This window comes from Homo sapiens, chromosome 5 (genome assembly GCF_000001405.40).
Source record: "Homo sapiens chromosome 5, GRCh38.p14 Primary Assembly".
Lineage (NCBI taxonomy): Eukaryota > Metazoa > Chordata > Mammalia > Primates > Hominidae > Homo > Homo sapiens.
In genome coordinates, this window is record NC_000005.10 from 64966059 (window position 1) to 64981825 (window position 15767).

Genomic DNA, 15767 nt, shown 5'->3' on the forward strand with positions numbered 1-15767 from the left:
CTTTTCAATATAGGTTAAAATGTGAGAAATGCAGGAGGAAGTAAAATAAAAATGCTAACATGTCTAAGAGCATCTCAACTGGAAAATCCTTATAACCACTTTTAGAATGTGTATAGCTTCATAATCTAGCAAAAAAAAAAATAGTTTCCCTTTTCCCTCCATCAATGTAAGAAATTCCCTTATATGAAAGAAATGTATTTGTATGGAGAGGGAAAGAGAAAGAAAAACAAGCTTGACTTGTGCAAGAGTCTGTGATATCCTTTGAAAGCTTATCACTTAAAACAAAGAAAAACATATAGAGTTAGCACATAATTGTACAGTCAGTGTGAGTGTATATTTTGATACTTTCATAATTTAATCTGAATGAGATAGTAATAATAGTTTGTTAGGTGTTTGCCACATGTCAGACAGTATTTTATTTAATCCTCACAACAGCAAGTGAGGTAGATATTATCATCCCCAGTTTATAGCTGAAGAAACTGAGGCACAAAAAGATGACATAGTGTATCCCTATCTCACTCATATAGTAAATTGTGGAACCAGGATTCAGATCAGTCTCACCCAAAGTCTATGCTCTAAAGATGCCATGCTCACTGGCATCTCCTATACTGGAAACTGAGAGCACATATTCTTTCTTTTTTACCTACTAGAGGAAATGCATGTGCTTTAGGTTACTGTCTGAGTGCTAGTTTTAATGTCTTAAGAATATCTTGTGAGTTAAATAAGATTGTCCATAAGTTGATGCTATTGATAATAGGTGATGACTAAAGAGGCTTCATTATACCATTCTCTCTATATTTGTGTTGAAATTTTTCCATAATAAAAATTTTTGTTTGTTTTAAAAATACTTTTTGTCCAACTAACCTTTCTGGATTGGAAGTTGTTCATTGGTTTGTTCAGTGAGTCTTGATGTGAGAATTAATTACATTGCACATATCTTCTTTTTTTTTACATTCCCATGACATTTTGGTGGAAGAGAGGTACTGCTTTTTGCTCTCCATTCTATGAAAACTGCTTATTTCTATTTGCTATTTCATGTTATTGCTTCTAGTATATCAGCCAGTCATTTTTACAATTACCCATATTTGTTTCAAAACATTCCTGTTTCTGAAATACTAATCCTGAGATAGTCACAAAGATGATAGTAAATAGCCACTCCTCACTCCTATCTCACACCAGCACCATGACTGTACATGATGGTTGGAACCAAAAGGATGTATTATAGACCTCAACATGGCAGGTTAAGTCAGTAAAACTTTGATAGATTCACTATTGTTAAGATTGCAGTTCTCCCCAAATTAATTTATACATTCAATGCAGCTACTGTCAAAATCCTACCTGACTTATTTGAAGAAATTGTCAAGCTGATTTTAAAATTTATATGGAAAGGCAAAGGAACAAAAATCACCAAAATAGTTGTGAAAAAGAAGACAAAGTTAGAGGGCTTACACTAACTGATTCAAGACTTACTATAAACCTGCAGTAATCAAGACAGTATACTACTGGCACAAGCAGAGACATAGATTAATGGAACAGAAGAGAGTGTATAGAAATAGATATACATATGTGGTCAATTGATTTTCAAGAAAGGTGCCAAGGTCATTCACTGGAGGTAAGAAAGCCTTTTTAACATATAATATTGGAACACTTGATGTCTGTATAGAAAAAAAATCTCAACCCTTACCTTACGCCATATATAAAAATCAACTTGAAATAAATTATATATCTTAACAGAAAAGCTAAAATTTTATATTACTAAGAGAAAGCATTAGAAAAAAACTTTTGAGACCATGAGGAAAATAAGGATTTTTTAGATAAGACACAAAAAGTGTGATATGAAATTTAAATATTGATAAAATGCTGTTCATCGAATTTTAACTTTTGCTCTTTGAAAGATATACTTAAGAAAATGAAAAGGGAAATCAGACTGAGATAAATCATTTACAAAATATATATTTGACAAAGGACTTGTATCCAGAATATATAAGAAAACTATTACAACTCATTAATAAGACAAAAAAAATTAATAGACAAAAGATTTGAAAAGAAGATACATAAATGGCCAACAAGCACATAAAAAATGTAATATCACTTGTCATCAGAAAAGTAACACTAGAAACCACAAAATACTATTTCACGCTCTCTAAAATATTCAGTTAAATGACAATACCGATATATTTGGAGATATGGAGCAACTCAACCTCTCCTATATTGCGAGTGGAATGATGCAGCCAAAATGGTGCGACCATTTGTAAAACAGTATGGCAGTATCATATAAAATTAAACATACACTTATCACTTGACTCAGCAATCCCACTCCTAGGTATTTACCCCCAAGAAATGAAAATATATGTTTGCAAACAAACTTGTGTGTGTAAATGTTTAAAGAGGCATTATTTGTAGTAGCCAAAAACGGTAAGCAACTCAGAATAAACAAGTTAGAGTATATCCATGCTATGAAATACTATTCAGTTATGCAAAGGAACATGGATGAATCTCAACAATAGTTGCTCACCAAAATAAGCCAGACATAAAAAACTACATACTGTATGATCCCATTTGTATGAGTTTCTAGTAATGGCAAAAATGTGGTGCCAGAAAGCAGATCGCTGATGCCTCATTGCCAGAAAAAGAAAACTGACTGTAACAGACATTTGGACACTTTGTAGGGTATGTGGAACTTTTCTAGATCTTGATTGCAGTGGAAGTTATATGCTCTATACAATACCAAAAGTCATCACATTTTATATACAAAATTAGTGAGTTTTACTATATGTAATGCCTACCTCAATACAGCTGTTTTTAAAAATTCTATCATTTCATGCATTTAGTTTCCTTAATGAGGTGACTGCTATTTCTAAGTTATTAAAAGGCCATTTAGTATTATAAACAACATAGCTACAGAATTTCCATGCTTTATTATATACTTAAATGTACCTATCCTTGACTTTTTAAAATTGATTTGTAAGGCTTCTTTATAGCACTTTTTAAACATTTTCCTACTTCCTTCACATTCCTAATAAGTGAAATTAAGTGGTTGGTCCTTGCTAAAAGGGACCGTGTTCAAGAAGATGCGTGTGAAACATTAAAATAAGCAATGCTGAATCTGTTTTGAAAGTTGTAAGCTTAACTTACCTATGACATGAGATAGCAGAATTCATCTATATCTTTTCCATTTATTGCAAAATTCTTACCACACATAAAGGTTTTCAATCTTTTTTAGCTGAAAATGTAAGCAAAGAACTTGTCCTTTCTCTTTTGCATTTTTTTAACCATAAAAACATTAAACAGTTCTACTGATACCCATCACAATTTTCCTTAGAATTTTACAAACTTCTGCCCTAGGAAATGGCAGAAAATAATTATTGACTCCCTAAATGCAATGGAACAGGAGATTCCAGGTGCATGGCAAATGCTAACTATAACTGAGGCTGGCGAGGGGAAGAGGGCAAATTACCCTACACCTTCTTATTTTCCCCTTCTTCAATTACATTATTACTTCATTTATTTGACTATTTATTGAATCACTTGCCAAGCACTGTCCTAAGTGTATCTTTGAAAGATACACTTAAGAAAATGAAATGAGGACATGAAATGAAATAAGAAAAAAAAATGAGGACAAATATGATTTGTCCTCAAGGAGTTAATGTCTAGTGAGTTTAAAGAAGAGTAAACAGGAAATCGCCATAAAGTGTGATAAGTGCTAAAGGGTGCTTTGGAAGCTCAAAGGAGAGACATCTAAACCAGACTTCAAGAACGGAATCAGAAAAGGCTCACTGAAGTGCCAACCAAGCTGAGACCTAAAGGAGGAGCCGGAATTAAGCAAGGAGAATTAACAAGAACGGAGAGATGAAGTATTTGCAGTATCCCTGAAGGAAGAAAAGCATGTGCAAAGGCGGATGGTTGGTCAAGAGAGCAGGGTTTAAGAATACTAGTTATCAGCCAAGTGAAAGCACATGAAGGTGGATACGGCAAAGGAGTTGTCTCTTGAGAGACGTAACTGGAAAGCAAAGCATTAACTGCCTCATGTAGGGATCCTAAGTCATCTTAAAGTGCTTGCTCTTTATCCCAGGACAATGCAAATCTAACTACTGTAGGATAAGAAGAAGAGAGGTATTCAAAGATGTAATTCAGTAGAAAAATATGAAAGTAATTTTTTTTTTTTTTTTTTTGAGACAGAGTCTCGCTCTGTCGCCCAGGCTGGAGTGCAGTGGCGCGATCTCGGCTCACTGCAAGCTCCGCCTCCCGGGTTCACGCCATTCTCCTGCCTCAGCCTCTCCAGTAGCTGGGACTACAGGCGCCCGCCACCACGCCCGGCTAATTTTTTGTATTTTTAGTAGAGATGGGGTTTCACCGTGCTAGCCAGGATGGTCTCGATCTTCTGACCTCGTGATCCGCCCACCTCGGCCTCCGAAAGTGCTGGGATTACAGGCGTGAGCCACCACGCCCGGCCGAAAGTAATTTTTAAACCTACTATAAGAATCACTTCATGTATACCAGTCGTGATGGCATACTCTTTATACTAGTCTTTACTAGGCATGTGTGCCTTAGATATTATTTCTGTATTTAATGGTTCATTTTTCCTTAATGTGCTCAGTTTTTAATGTTTGCAGCTGTCAGTTTTGAAACCAGGACTCTCCTTCCAAGTTCTACCAAAATCATATTAGGTAACCACAAAAAGATAACTTGTTTCTTAGTTCAAATTTTTTTTTTGACCAGAAAATCTCTTGAACAAAATGGCTGATTGTTAATAGATTGCATATTCATGATGTTCCTCAAGCTAGATAACAAAGAGACAACTAACAGACTAAAGCTTTGGTAGACAGATTACTAGCATTCTTGATTACATCTGGCTTATCGTTTGTCTTCCAGCCAAAGAGAAGAGAGAGAGAGAGAGGGAGTGTGTGTGTGTGTGTGTGTGTGTGTGTGTGTGTGTGTGTGTTTTAGTCACAAATTTCATTGATATTTACACATGTGAGGTATTATAAAATGTTACTAGTTGGGTTTGTTGGCTTGTTTGTTTTTGAGGCAAAACTGTGTTTTATGAACCAAGATGTTAACTAATCTTCACATAGAATTATTGCAGGTTCAAACCTATAGATTTGTTTTCTAATTTCTAATTCAGTAAAGATTATTTTTGTCTGCTTTTGCTAACTGTTTTGACTTATTTGTTAGACATATTTATTTTCTATGATGCCATTAAATTGAAGGTTGTTATTGTTATAACTGGGGAACAAAAGTGGCAGGTAATTGGAATATCAACCAATATTTGGAAGGTTATATCTTCTAAGGCAAGGAAAAAATGTAAAATGGTATTGCTGAATTTTAGGAAAACCTTAATTATTTTAGAAGTGAGATAGATGATTTTATAATCAACTTAAATAAGGACATGTGAGAAGAACAATTACAATAGTGCAGTGTATAGTAAATATATGTATATCAACTCATAAATTAGCATCAGTCACATTCTAATTTAGGAAGTAGTTACAGAGCTGGTGGGGCTTACAGGTTTTCTTTTGAAATTAAATGGTGAAAAAGCAAGCCCAAGTGCCAACCTCCTCTTCAGCAACAGGAGCATAAACATTGCTATGAATCCACAGAGCTATTTTACTGCTTATTCTAAAAATATTCTACTATTCTTTAGAGGAAGAAGCCCCTCCAGATGGTGCTGTTGCCGAATACAGAAGAGAAAAGCAAAAGTATGAAGCTTTGAGGAAGCAACAGTCAAAGAAGGGAACTTCCCGGGAAGATCAGGTAACTTCAAAAACCCAAATCCATACAGAACTTATTGTCTTTTTATTGTTTTTAAGTGTTTCTAAATGGAGCCTAATTTGATTATATATCAGGAGAAGCACTACCTCTTAAAAATAAAAAAGAATATATTTATATAGGGTGGACATTGGCCACTCACATAAAGATTCAAACTCTGGAGTTCTTTCCAGACATTGGTGGTGAAAAAGCCTGGAACTTCCACGTTTCAACCTGGTACTCCCATAGTAAGCACAGGAACCTCATAAAGCCATGTATCCTCAGAAACCCAGGTGGAACCTCTGTGTAGTGAATATTATGAAATGAAGAAGTGGTGATTATAAATGATGAGAGAGTCTCTTCCAGCCCGACATCTCGCATGCTGACTAGCCAGCCTAGCTTGAAATTGTACACTGTCTGGAAATAAGTCATTTGGTCTGCTAGCTGACTTCTATTCATTAGTACAAGTAATTCCTGAATCTTTAGGTAGTAATATTAAGAAGTTAGTTGTCAGAAATCAAGAATGAAAAGAGATAGGAAGCTAGCTCAACAATTTGGGAGTCAGCACTATGTGCCATGCAGTACTTGACACTTGATAAAACAAATCTCTTAAGCAGCCCTTCATGTTGAAAAGTTAGAGGGCAGACTGAAATCATTTATTTTTGGTGCTGCCATATATATGTTTATATAGATAGACATATATATTAATATATATGGATATAAACAAACTGCCTTATATATATATATATGGACACACCATTTTAGTTGTATAAATAAAACGGGCAAAGTAAAAGTAAATTAAAAAGCCCAAACCTGTCTGGATAATTTCTTAATTTCATTAAGAAAAAGTACATTATTAACTTGTTTTCATGAAATCACAAAGTCTTCTAAATAGCAACCATAGTGACTATACTACCAGAGATACTAAGGATGACTCATTCATTCATTCCTTCCCCCTCCCCCCATTCCCTTGTAGCAAATAATTATTAAGAACCTGCCATGTACTAATCACTGTATTTGGCAGTCAACACATGAACACATCCCTGCTCTCTCTGATCTATCAGGGAAAAGAGCTAAACAAGTAATACCAGTGAAAGGGGGTGAGCATTATGAAAGGGTAGGTACAGGAAGCCATGTAGATGAATAACAGAGGGGCCTTACATGGCTTAAGAATCTGGGAAGGCCTTCCTAAGGAAATGATTTGTCAGCTGAACTTCAAAGGTTGTGTAGGAGACAGCCAGGTAGAGGCAGAGCATGGCTAGACAAAAGGAACAGTGCGTACATGAAAAGTCTTCAACCTCTTTGCAAAGAACTAAAAGATATTAAATATGATTGTAACATAAACTAAGAGAAGGAGAAAGATGAGGCTGAAGAGGTAAGCAAAAGTAAGTTCGTACAAGGTATTTTTAAACCATGTTAAGGAGTTTAGAATTTATCCTAAAGGCCATGGGGAACCATTGACAGAAGGAAGTGATATGATCTCACTTTCATTTTAGGAAGATCTCTCTAACTGGGCTGCAATATGGAGATTAGACTGGATACAGGACAGGACCAGAGGCACAGGGCCCAGTTGGGAGACTCTTGTGTTAGATATGCATAAACAGAGTATGCCAAGATTGGGCTCCTTCAGCATAGCTTCTACATTCTGGGAAGGCTCTCGCTGTGCTGAAAGAGCATTCCTGGAAGTAGTTGGCCATTCGTTCTTTCAGGAAAAGCCATAACTGAATAATTCCCCTGCAGATGCCAATCAAAATGCCTCCATGCAGATCCTATCTTCTTCACACTATAACAAATGTGTCCCATTATTTTTGTGATTTTTTTCTGCCCAGTGTCTTCTCTAGCCTTTATAATAAAGCAGGAGAAAGTCTAATCTTAAATATAGAAGAAGCTAAAAATAGCCAAGAGGATGTTTTTTGTTTGCCACAGTCTCCCCTCTTTGAGCAAATGCCAGTAGCTCATTAATTGGCTTAAAAACAAACTGCCTTGCCACTTGTAACTCAGGGAGAAAGATCCAGGTCTAGTATAATTTTCTAGGAAATTTTAAAATTTCATTCCATTTAGAAGTCTTTTTTGTTTTCATTTTTCTTTGTGCTTTTAAAAAAGACATTTCCAAGTATGCAAACATCCATCATTAAAAATTAGTTAGGGCCAGGCATGGTGAGTCACTCTTGTAATCCCAGGACTTTGGGAGGCCAAGATGGGAGGATCTCTTGAGCCCAGGAGTTTGAAACCAGCCTAGGCAGCCTAGGGAGACCCCCATCTCTACAGAAAAAAAAAAAAAAATAGTTTGGCAAGGTGGTGTGCATCTGTGGTCCCAGCTACTTGGGAGGCTAAGGCATGAGGATCGCTTGAGCCCAGTAGGTCGACGCTGTAGTGAGCCATGATTGTACCATTGCACTCCAGCCTGGGTGACAGAGTGAGACTCTATCTCTTAAAAAAAAAAATGATAGGGTTTACTTTTAAGCTATAGTGTATTAGTCCATTTTCACACTGCTGATAAAAACATACCCAAAACTGGGGAAAAAAAGGAGGTTTAATTTGACTTATAGTTCCACCTGGCTGAGGAGGTCTCACAATCATGGCAGAGGGTGAAAGGCAGTTCTTACATGGTGGTGGCAAGAGAGAATGAGGAAGAAGAAAAAGTGGAAACCCCTGATAAACCCATCAGATCTTGTGAGACTTATTCGCTATCACGAGAATAGCATGGTAAAGACCAGCCCCCATGATTCAATTACCTCCCACTGGGTCCCTCCCATAACACATGGGAATTCTGGGAGATACAATTCAAGTTGAGATTTGGGTAGGGACACAGCCAGACCATATCATATAGATTAAATAGATAGATATGGAGATAAGCATGTGGAGAGATATATTTATGCAATAGTAGATATAGATAGATATAGATACAGATATATAAACACATACATACACACACACATACTACCTGGAAGTATATTTACCAAAATATTAACAGCGGTTATTCTGAGTGGTAGGATAATAGTTATTTTACTTCTATTTTTCAATATTTTTACAGTAATCTGTTTTCTTATTAATAAGCAAATACAATAAGAATGAATAAACAATGGACTATTTTTAATGAGTAAGGTTTAAAAACAAGGGATACTTTATCTGTTAACATTGTTTGAATAGCTTAATTCTATAACCTCTACTCTAAAAACAGATAAAACAGCTAAATGCTAACATACTCTGCAGCCCTCAGAATGCCTATGATGACATTCTATAGGAACTTATAAATTTTCCCCAAAACTCATCTCATTCAGTAGCTATGATAATGTGTGTATTTTTAGCTGTTGAATATGTGGGCATTAAATTTTGCAGAAAAGTAGAAGATGCTTTTTACTATCATTTTTAAAGCAATAACCAACCACCTTTTTCTTGCAGTTATTTTGACACCATTTGTCTTTATTAAGCTTGAGTTCTAGATTGCCCAGACCTACTTAACTTTTTCATGAACTGTGATCTTATTGATACTCTCTAGATAAATTCTGGAGCTTAGGAATGTATTGTGACTCTCTAATATACCAGTTATTCACATGTTGAACTGTCACACATCTTTTTCCTTATGAAATGTGAGGATTTCAGTATTGAATTCAACATACCAAAATCTTGATTAGGCCCTTGATTTCTCGGACAGGTAGTATTTTATCCCATTTCATAATGATGGACTCTGTAAATATGTTGAATAGAAAAACCTTTTTCTAGCTTCTGTTGTCTGCTCAAATTCTGGAGTAGACTGTTAAGACCTAGGAGATGGTGTGATTACAAAATTATAGCCACTTGCTTCTTCCTGCCCACAGAGAGCATAGGAGCCAAACAAGAATTCACAGTCATGTTCCCCCTACACACACACACTTTTAAAAAATATATACTTAACACAATATTTGTATTCATCTTTCACTTAACAATAGAATGCAATGTTTCATGTATATAATTTTTAATAACAATAGCATATTTAGGCCAGGCATGGTGGCTCACACCTGTAATCCCAACACTTTGGGAGGCCAAGGCGTGTGGAACACTTGAGGTCAGGAATTGGAGACCGGCCTGGCCAATATAATGAAACCCCATCTCTGCTAAAAATACAAAAAAAATTAGCTGGGCATGGTGGCACGTGCCTGTGGTCCCAGCTACTCAGGAGTCTGGGGCAGGAGAATCGCTTGAACCTGGGAGGCGGAGGTTGCAGTGAGCCAAGATCGCGCCATTGCACTCCAGCCTGGGCCTCACAGCGAGACTCTGTCTCAAAAAAATAAAAATAAAAAATAAAAATAAAATTTTTAAATAGCATATTTATTGCTTTTTACTAAATTTATCTAGTTTCTTATTGATAGACATTTAACAGGTTTTCATTTTTCCATTTGTATGAGTAATGCTGCAGTGCACATCTTGTGCGTAAGCCATTTTCTCTGTTTCACCTTATTTTTCTATCGTCCCAGGATAGGAATTACTCAGTCAGGGGGAATGATCATCTTAAAGTTACCAGTATGTATCAACAGCTTTCTAAAGACATTCCAATTTACTCATTTTCCAACAGTTAATATGTTCATTCTACCTTCCCTATATTGATATTTTTATATTTTTGGAAATTTGTGAAATAAACAATACTATTTTTTTATTTTTGATTTCACATAACTTAGTGAATTACCTTTCTTTCTTATAGACACTAAACTCAACTATAAATGAGCATACATTTTTTATTTTATTTTATTTTATTTATTTATTTATTTAGAGACAGTCTCACTCTGTTACCCATGCTGGAGTGCAGTGGCACAATCATAGGTCACTACAGCCTAAAACTCCTAGGCTCAAGGGATCCTCCTGCCTCAGGCTTCATAGTAGCTGGGACTACAGATGCACACCACCACATCTGACTTTTTTTCTTTTCTTTTTGTAGTGATAGAGTCTCACTACATTACCCCTGCTGGTCTTGAGGTCTTGAACTCTTGGGCTCAAAAGATCCTCCCACTTTGGCCTCCCAGAGTGCTGGGACATGAACCAATGCACCAGGCCAAACATGTATTTTCAAAAGTTGGGTCTTCTGTCTTCTATGTAAGCAAACTTTTGTTTCCCAAATCAGAAAATAGTCACCTATCTCTGAGGGGAAATGTCAGTGCAAATCCAAACAGAATGATGTCAAGGTTTATTAATGTCATTATTGCAGCCTAAAGGTAGTTTTGTTCTTTTTGTTCAAAATCAAACATTTTGTTTTACATCCAAGTAGGATATTTCCTTTTCTACCAAACTTAAGCATCTCTTTTAAAATTATATTTATCTTTATCAGAAAACTTAGCAGTCTAATTGTTATTTCAGACCCTTGCACTGCTGAACCAGTTTAAATCTAAACTCACTCAAGCAATTGCTGAAACGCCTGAAAATGACATTCCTGAAACAGAAGTAGAAGATGATGAAGGATGGTAAGGGCTTTGATTTCTGTATATTAACCATGAACAAATAGTCTCAGAGCAGAGACACTACTGGGGCATTTCCACTATATCATCCTTTTGTTTTCAGAGTTTACCATCACCATTATAGGACCTCGGCAACTTTTGACTTTATTTCAGTTCAATATAAAGTAAAATAAATAAACACACCAAGCACTGAAGAAACAAGCATTTATTGAGCACTTGATGTGTCCGGCATTGTGCTAGTCAGTAAAAAATGCACAAGAAATATATGACACTATCCCAGTTCTAAGTAACTTTCTAATATTGTGGAAAAGATGAGACTCACATTAAACAACTCGAAAACAACCTTAGAAGATAATAAATCAATAATTTCTCACATTTTCCCACAAACCTTTTAGAACTCAGTAATCTATTTCATAATCCGACTAACTTCCTCTTCAAAGTTATGATCTACAGGATCCTAGCAACTCATACATAGTTAATTTTATTTTTATCTTTGGATATTTTTCAGCTTTTTAAGAGACTGATAAATAAAGTAATGACATATACATATCCTTTGCTTAGAACTTTATCCTATACTGGCAAAAAAAAAAAGGAATAAAAATTGTGTTTTTCTTTATCACACCCCTCTGTCCTCAAGTTGACTTCACATGCAGTGTATTAAGCCTCCCCACACCTAACTGCCTCCACCTCCCACTACACCCTGGCTCAGCCACATTGCTGCAAGCAAGCCAATGTATCACCCCCTACACATGACTCACCCTCTGGAGCCTCTGAACCATCACATGTGCCATTACCCCAACCCAGAATCATAGCCTCGGTTCTCTCTGCCAAACAGCATCTCCCCTGTTTCAAAACTCTGTTCAACACTCCCATCCTTCAGGAAACCAGTCAGCAAGATTTGTTGAGCACTCACAAATCTAGAGGGTGGAGGAAGGAGGGCTGGAAAACACATTTAAAAAGACATAAAAACACTTATTAAGAAAACATTCAAACACGTAAGACTCTGCAACTGTATATAACTTTAATCAAAAGGGCTGAGGGCATGATGATTTGAATGGAATGAATCCTACCTAACCTAGGACCCTGAAAGCACTTGTCTATTTCTCAATTAATTTATAGTTTTCATATGATGTGGGTTACGATGCCAGTTTTTGTAAGATCCTAGATATCTTTTAATAGGTTTCTATTACTTATATAGATTTGTTTATACAAATAAGTTGCTTGAAGGCAGAAGCTGTCTCCTTCCATAGTTTGGTGCCAAAGGCGAAGGCTCAGTGAATGTTGATTGACCCATAGTTAAATGCACATTGTATAGAACTTTTTGTTTTATATGACTGGACAGGTTTAGTTTAGTTTTGTTTTGGGTTTTTGGGTTTTTTTTTTTTTTTTGGCGGTGGGGGGGATTCCTTGAATGTCTCAAAATCTCTTTCAAATGTTTTGGGTTCAGCCACCACACAAAAAATGTTTTGCCAAGTCCTCTTCCCTTTATTTTTGAATCCATATGCATTTTTGAAGGAAATATGACCCGTGTGTTTCTGATTCATTTACACTTAACTCATCAAGATGGTGTTTTGTAAGAGCAGTTTGATGCCCAATAAGTTTTTTTAACCTTTTTATAAGCCATTTAAGTCCTTTTTTATTGAACAGGAAAGTCACCAACAAATTCAAACCCCAGAAGTTTTATTTGAAGCTCATAACCCACAGGATTCAAATTTACTTTCAACTTGGCAAGACCATTTAACTTCCAAGGTTCTTCCTAGCCCCTTGGTTCAGTATTCTCTCATTTTGAATTCCTCATTAGCTTCAGATACCAATGATGTATTTTTAAAAGTGCCATTCCTGTTTTTCATGTTATTTGATTATACAATCAATTTTCTGTCTAACATTCTCATTAGAAAGTTTAAAACGGGGAAACTTCACTGGACATGGGGAAAAAAATCACTGGCCAATGATGTTGGCTAATTCTCCATTGGGAGAAAAAAATAAATGGTGAAGAAGTGGGGAACAAGTTAAAGGAACCATTAGCAGGTCTTCAGGGCGTTCATATCTGCTTTCAATTGCAGTCTTCTAAGGAGAAAGTCAGAGCTGTACACTATGAACCTCCAGAATGTTTTTGGTATTTGTTTTATCTAACATCTAACAAAAATACCTTCCATGTTCAAGGCACTATGCAGAATCAGATAGCATATATAGGGCCCTTATGTAATGCCTTTTTATTGCAATTTAGACCTTGGATTTTGTAACCTGATAAGCAACAACATCATTTCTGTTCAGTATAGCTTTCTCAAGTCTCTGGTGATTTAGATCCTCTCTCATAAAGTATATTCTTCTCAGGAAAGGAATCTTATATTCAGAATGATTTATAACAAATATTATGAGTGCATGGCATGTGCATGTGTGTTATGCATAAATTACATGGTTCCCAGACTATTTTGTAGGTCACGGTTGCCGCTTTTCTAAGAAGTGAAAGTCAGCCATTGTGCTGTACTACACTGTCAGGGTCTGTTATCTGAGGTAAAATGATTGCTTCTAAGACATTTTTATGTGTCCACATGAGTGGCCACACATTGAGGGATCATTTTCATTTTCTGTCAAGATAGAAACCATTACCAATTTGTTATGTTTTCTTTTACTTGGCAAATTATTCTATTCGCATTTTTGGCTGAGCTGCTGTATTGGCATGGTATACAACAGACATTTGGGTACCATTCAGCAGCATTATACTTTTTATGTAAAAAAAAAAAAAAAAAAAAGAGAGAGGGAGAGAAAGAAAAGAAATATGATTCAATTGTAAACAGTGCGTATGGTGTTTGAAAATTATTCCCAGATTTCACTAACAAGGCATTTAAAGAAGTGTTATTAGTAGATCTAAACTGAAATGCATGATAGAAATTTTTCACTCAGAATTACTAGGATTCCTCCTTTGTTCAGATATACACTGCCAATATTTAGTGATAGTGATGGTACCAGATTCCAGTTTAGCAGGTAGAGTGGTCTCTTTGTCACTATATTCCTTAGTCCCACAGTATACAGACTCATATAGCTGTAGACCCTTCTTTGAGCATGGATTTTATGAAACCGATTAGACACATGGCAGGAGGAATTTGCCCAGGGATTCATATGACCATATGGATGAAGTCCATATGCCAAATTGGGTTTGGTTAGATGAAGCTTGGTGAGCTCCCAAAAAAGTTACAAGAAAGATAGCCACCTGCTCCTTACACAACAAAATTGGCATTTCTAAGGAGAGGAGAAAGATTAAATCTATGTGAATAGGCTTCGATCTTATGCACATTAACTCTTCACTACTATGTTTCATTGAAAATTTCTTTCCAGATTGTTAATTCTAAGATTAACTTGAAACATTACAGCACATATACAAGATAAAATAATAAACAGTATAATGGTCTGTCTGCCTTCTTCCTCTTTCTCTTCTTCTTTCTCTCCCCTCCGTCACTTTCTTCCATAGTACATACGGTATTTAGTATTATAAAAATTTGAAAAAATACCAACAATTGCATGGTTGCCTCAAGTAAATATTTTACTGATTATTATATAACTAAAAGATGTTCATTGTGGCCAGGCATGCTGGCTTATGCCTGTAATCTCAGCACTTTGGGAGGCCAAGGCAGGTGGATCACTTGAGGTCAAGAGTTTGAGACCAGCCTGGCCAACATGGCGAAACCCCATCTCTACTAAAAGTACAAAAATTTGCCGAGCATGGTGGCGGGTGCCTGTGGTCCCAGCTACTCAGGAGGCTGAGGCACGAGAATCGCTTGAACCTGAAAGGTGGAGGTTGCAGTGAGCCGAGCTCATGCCACTGCACTCCAACCTGGTTGACAGAGCAAAACTCCGTCTCAAAAAAAAACAAAAAAATGTTCACTGTGGAAAAATCAGAATGCAGACACACTCAAAAAAGGTAAATGAGAATTACCTATGATCCCAAACTCAAAGATAAATACTGTTAATTTATACATATCAATTTATATATTTATGCTATTTACATCAAATATGTAAAAGTATATTTTTATACATGTTAATTTATATCTGTCCAGGTATTTCTATGCACATACATATTTTAAACAGAAATTAGATCATATAGTACTACAGCTTTATAACTTGCTTTTTTTCTCAGCAATATGCAGTGACTACTTTTCCTTATCATGTATAATTTTATGATGTAATTTTTATCTTTTGTATTATGACCATCATATTCCACTATATGATGAACCACAAATTTATTTGACCATGTTGTTGGATATTTAAACAATGCTGTAACATCCTTGTTTCTATGTCATTGCCCATTTTCTTAGGATAAATTTCTAAAACTAGAATTGCTTTCTCAGTAAGTACACATGTTGACTTCTGCTAAATATTTTCAAATGGCTTTCACAAAATGTCATTCTAATTTGTACTCCAAAGTAAATACTTGTCTTTAGGGCTATTAGAATCTCAAGAATTAATTAAGAATCCTTAAAGAGCTTTAGTGAAAGAGATTAATGTTTTAGAAGAAATGCTTTGCCTTCTTAAATTTTTTAAAAATAAAAACAGTGTGGTTTGCTTCTGTTTTTCATAAAACTATACAAGTTTCAA

At 35.7% G+C, this 15767-nt stretch overlaps 1 protein-coding gene across 2 annotated transcripts in view, besides 1 other annotated feature; it reads left to right on the top strand.

Moving 5' to 3' along the window:
- The window catches only part of CWC27 (CWC27 spliceosome associated cyclophilin), a 249846-nt gene that overhangs the window by 197141 nt on the left and 36938 nt on the right, over nt 1-15767 (top strand). The window contains exons 12-13 of one of the 2 annotated variants that reach the window (NM_005869.4): nt 5645-5754; nt 11077-11180. In NM_005869.4, coding sequence (NP_005860.2) covers nt 5645-5754; nt 11077-11180 — 214 coding nt within the window. The remainder of the gene's footprint in view (nt 1-5644; nt 5755-11076; nt 11181-15767) is intronic. The other variant, NM_001297644.1, reaches the window with a different exon arrangement.
- Nucleotides 11971-12171: a silencer, noted in NCBI's record as "peak5267 fragment used in MPRA reporter construct". NCBI's record gives its function as "represses an SCP1 promoter by STARR-seq MPRAs in K562 erythroleukemia cells {active_cell/tissue: K562}" and the evidence as "EXISTENCE:reporter gene assay evidence [ECO:0000049][PMID:32103011]".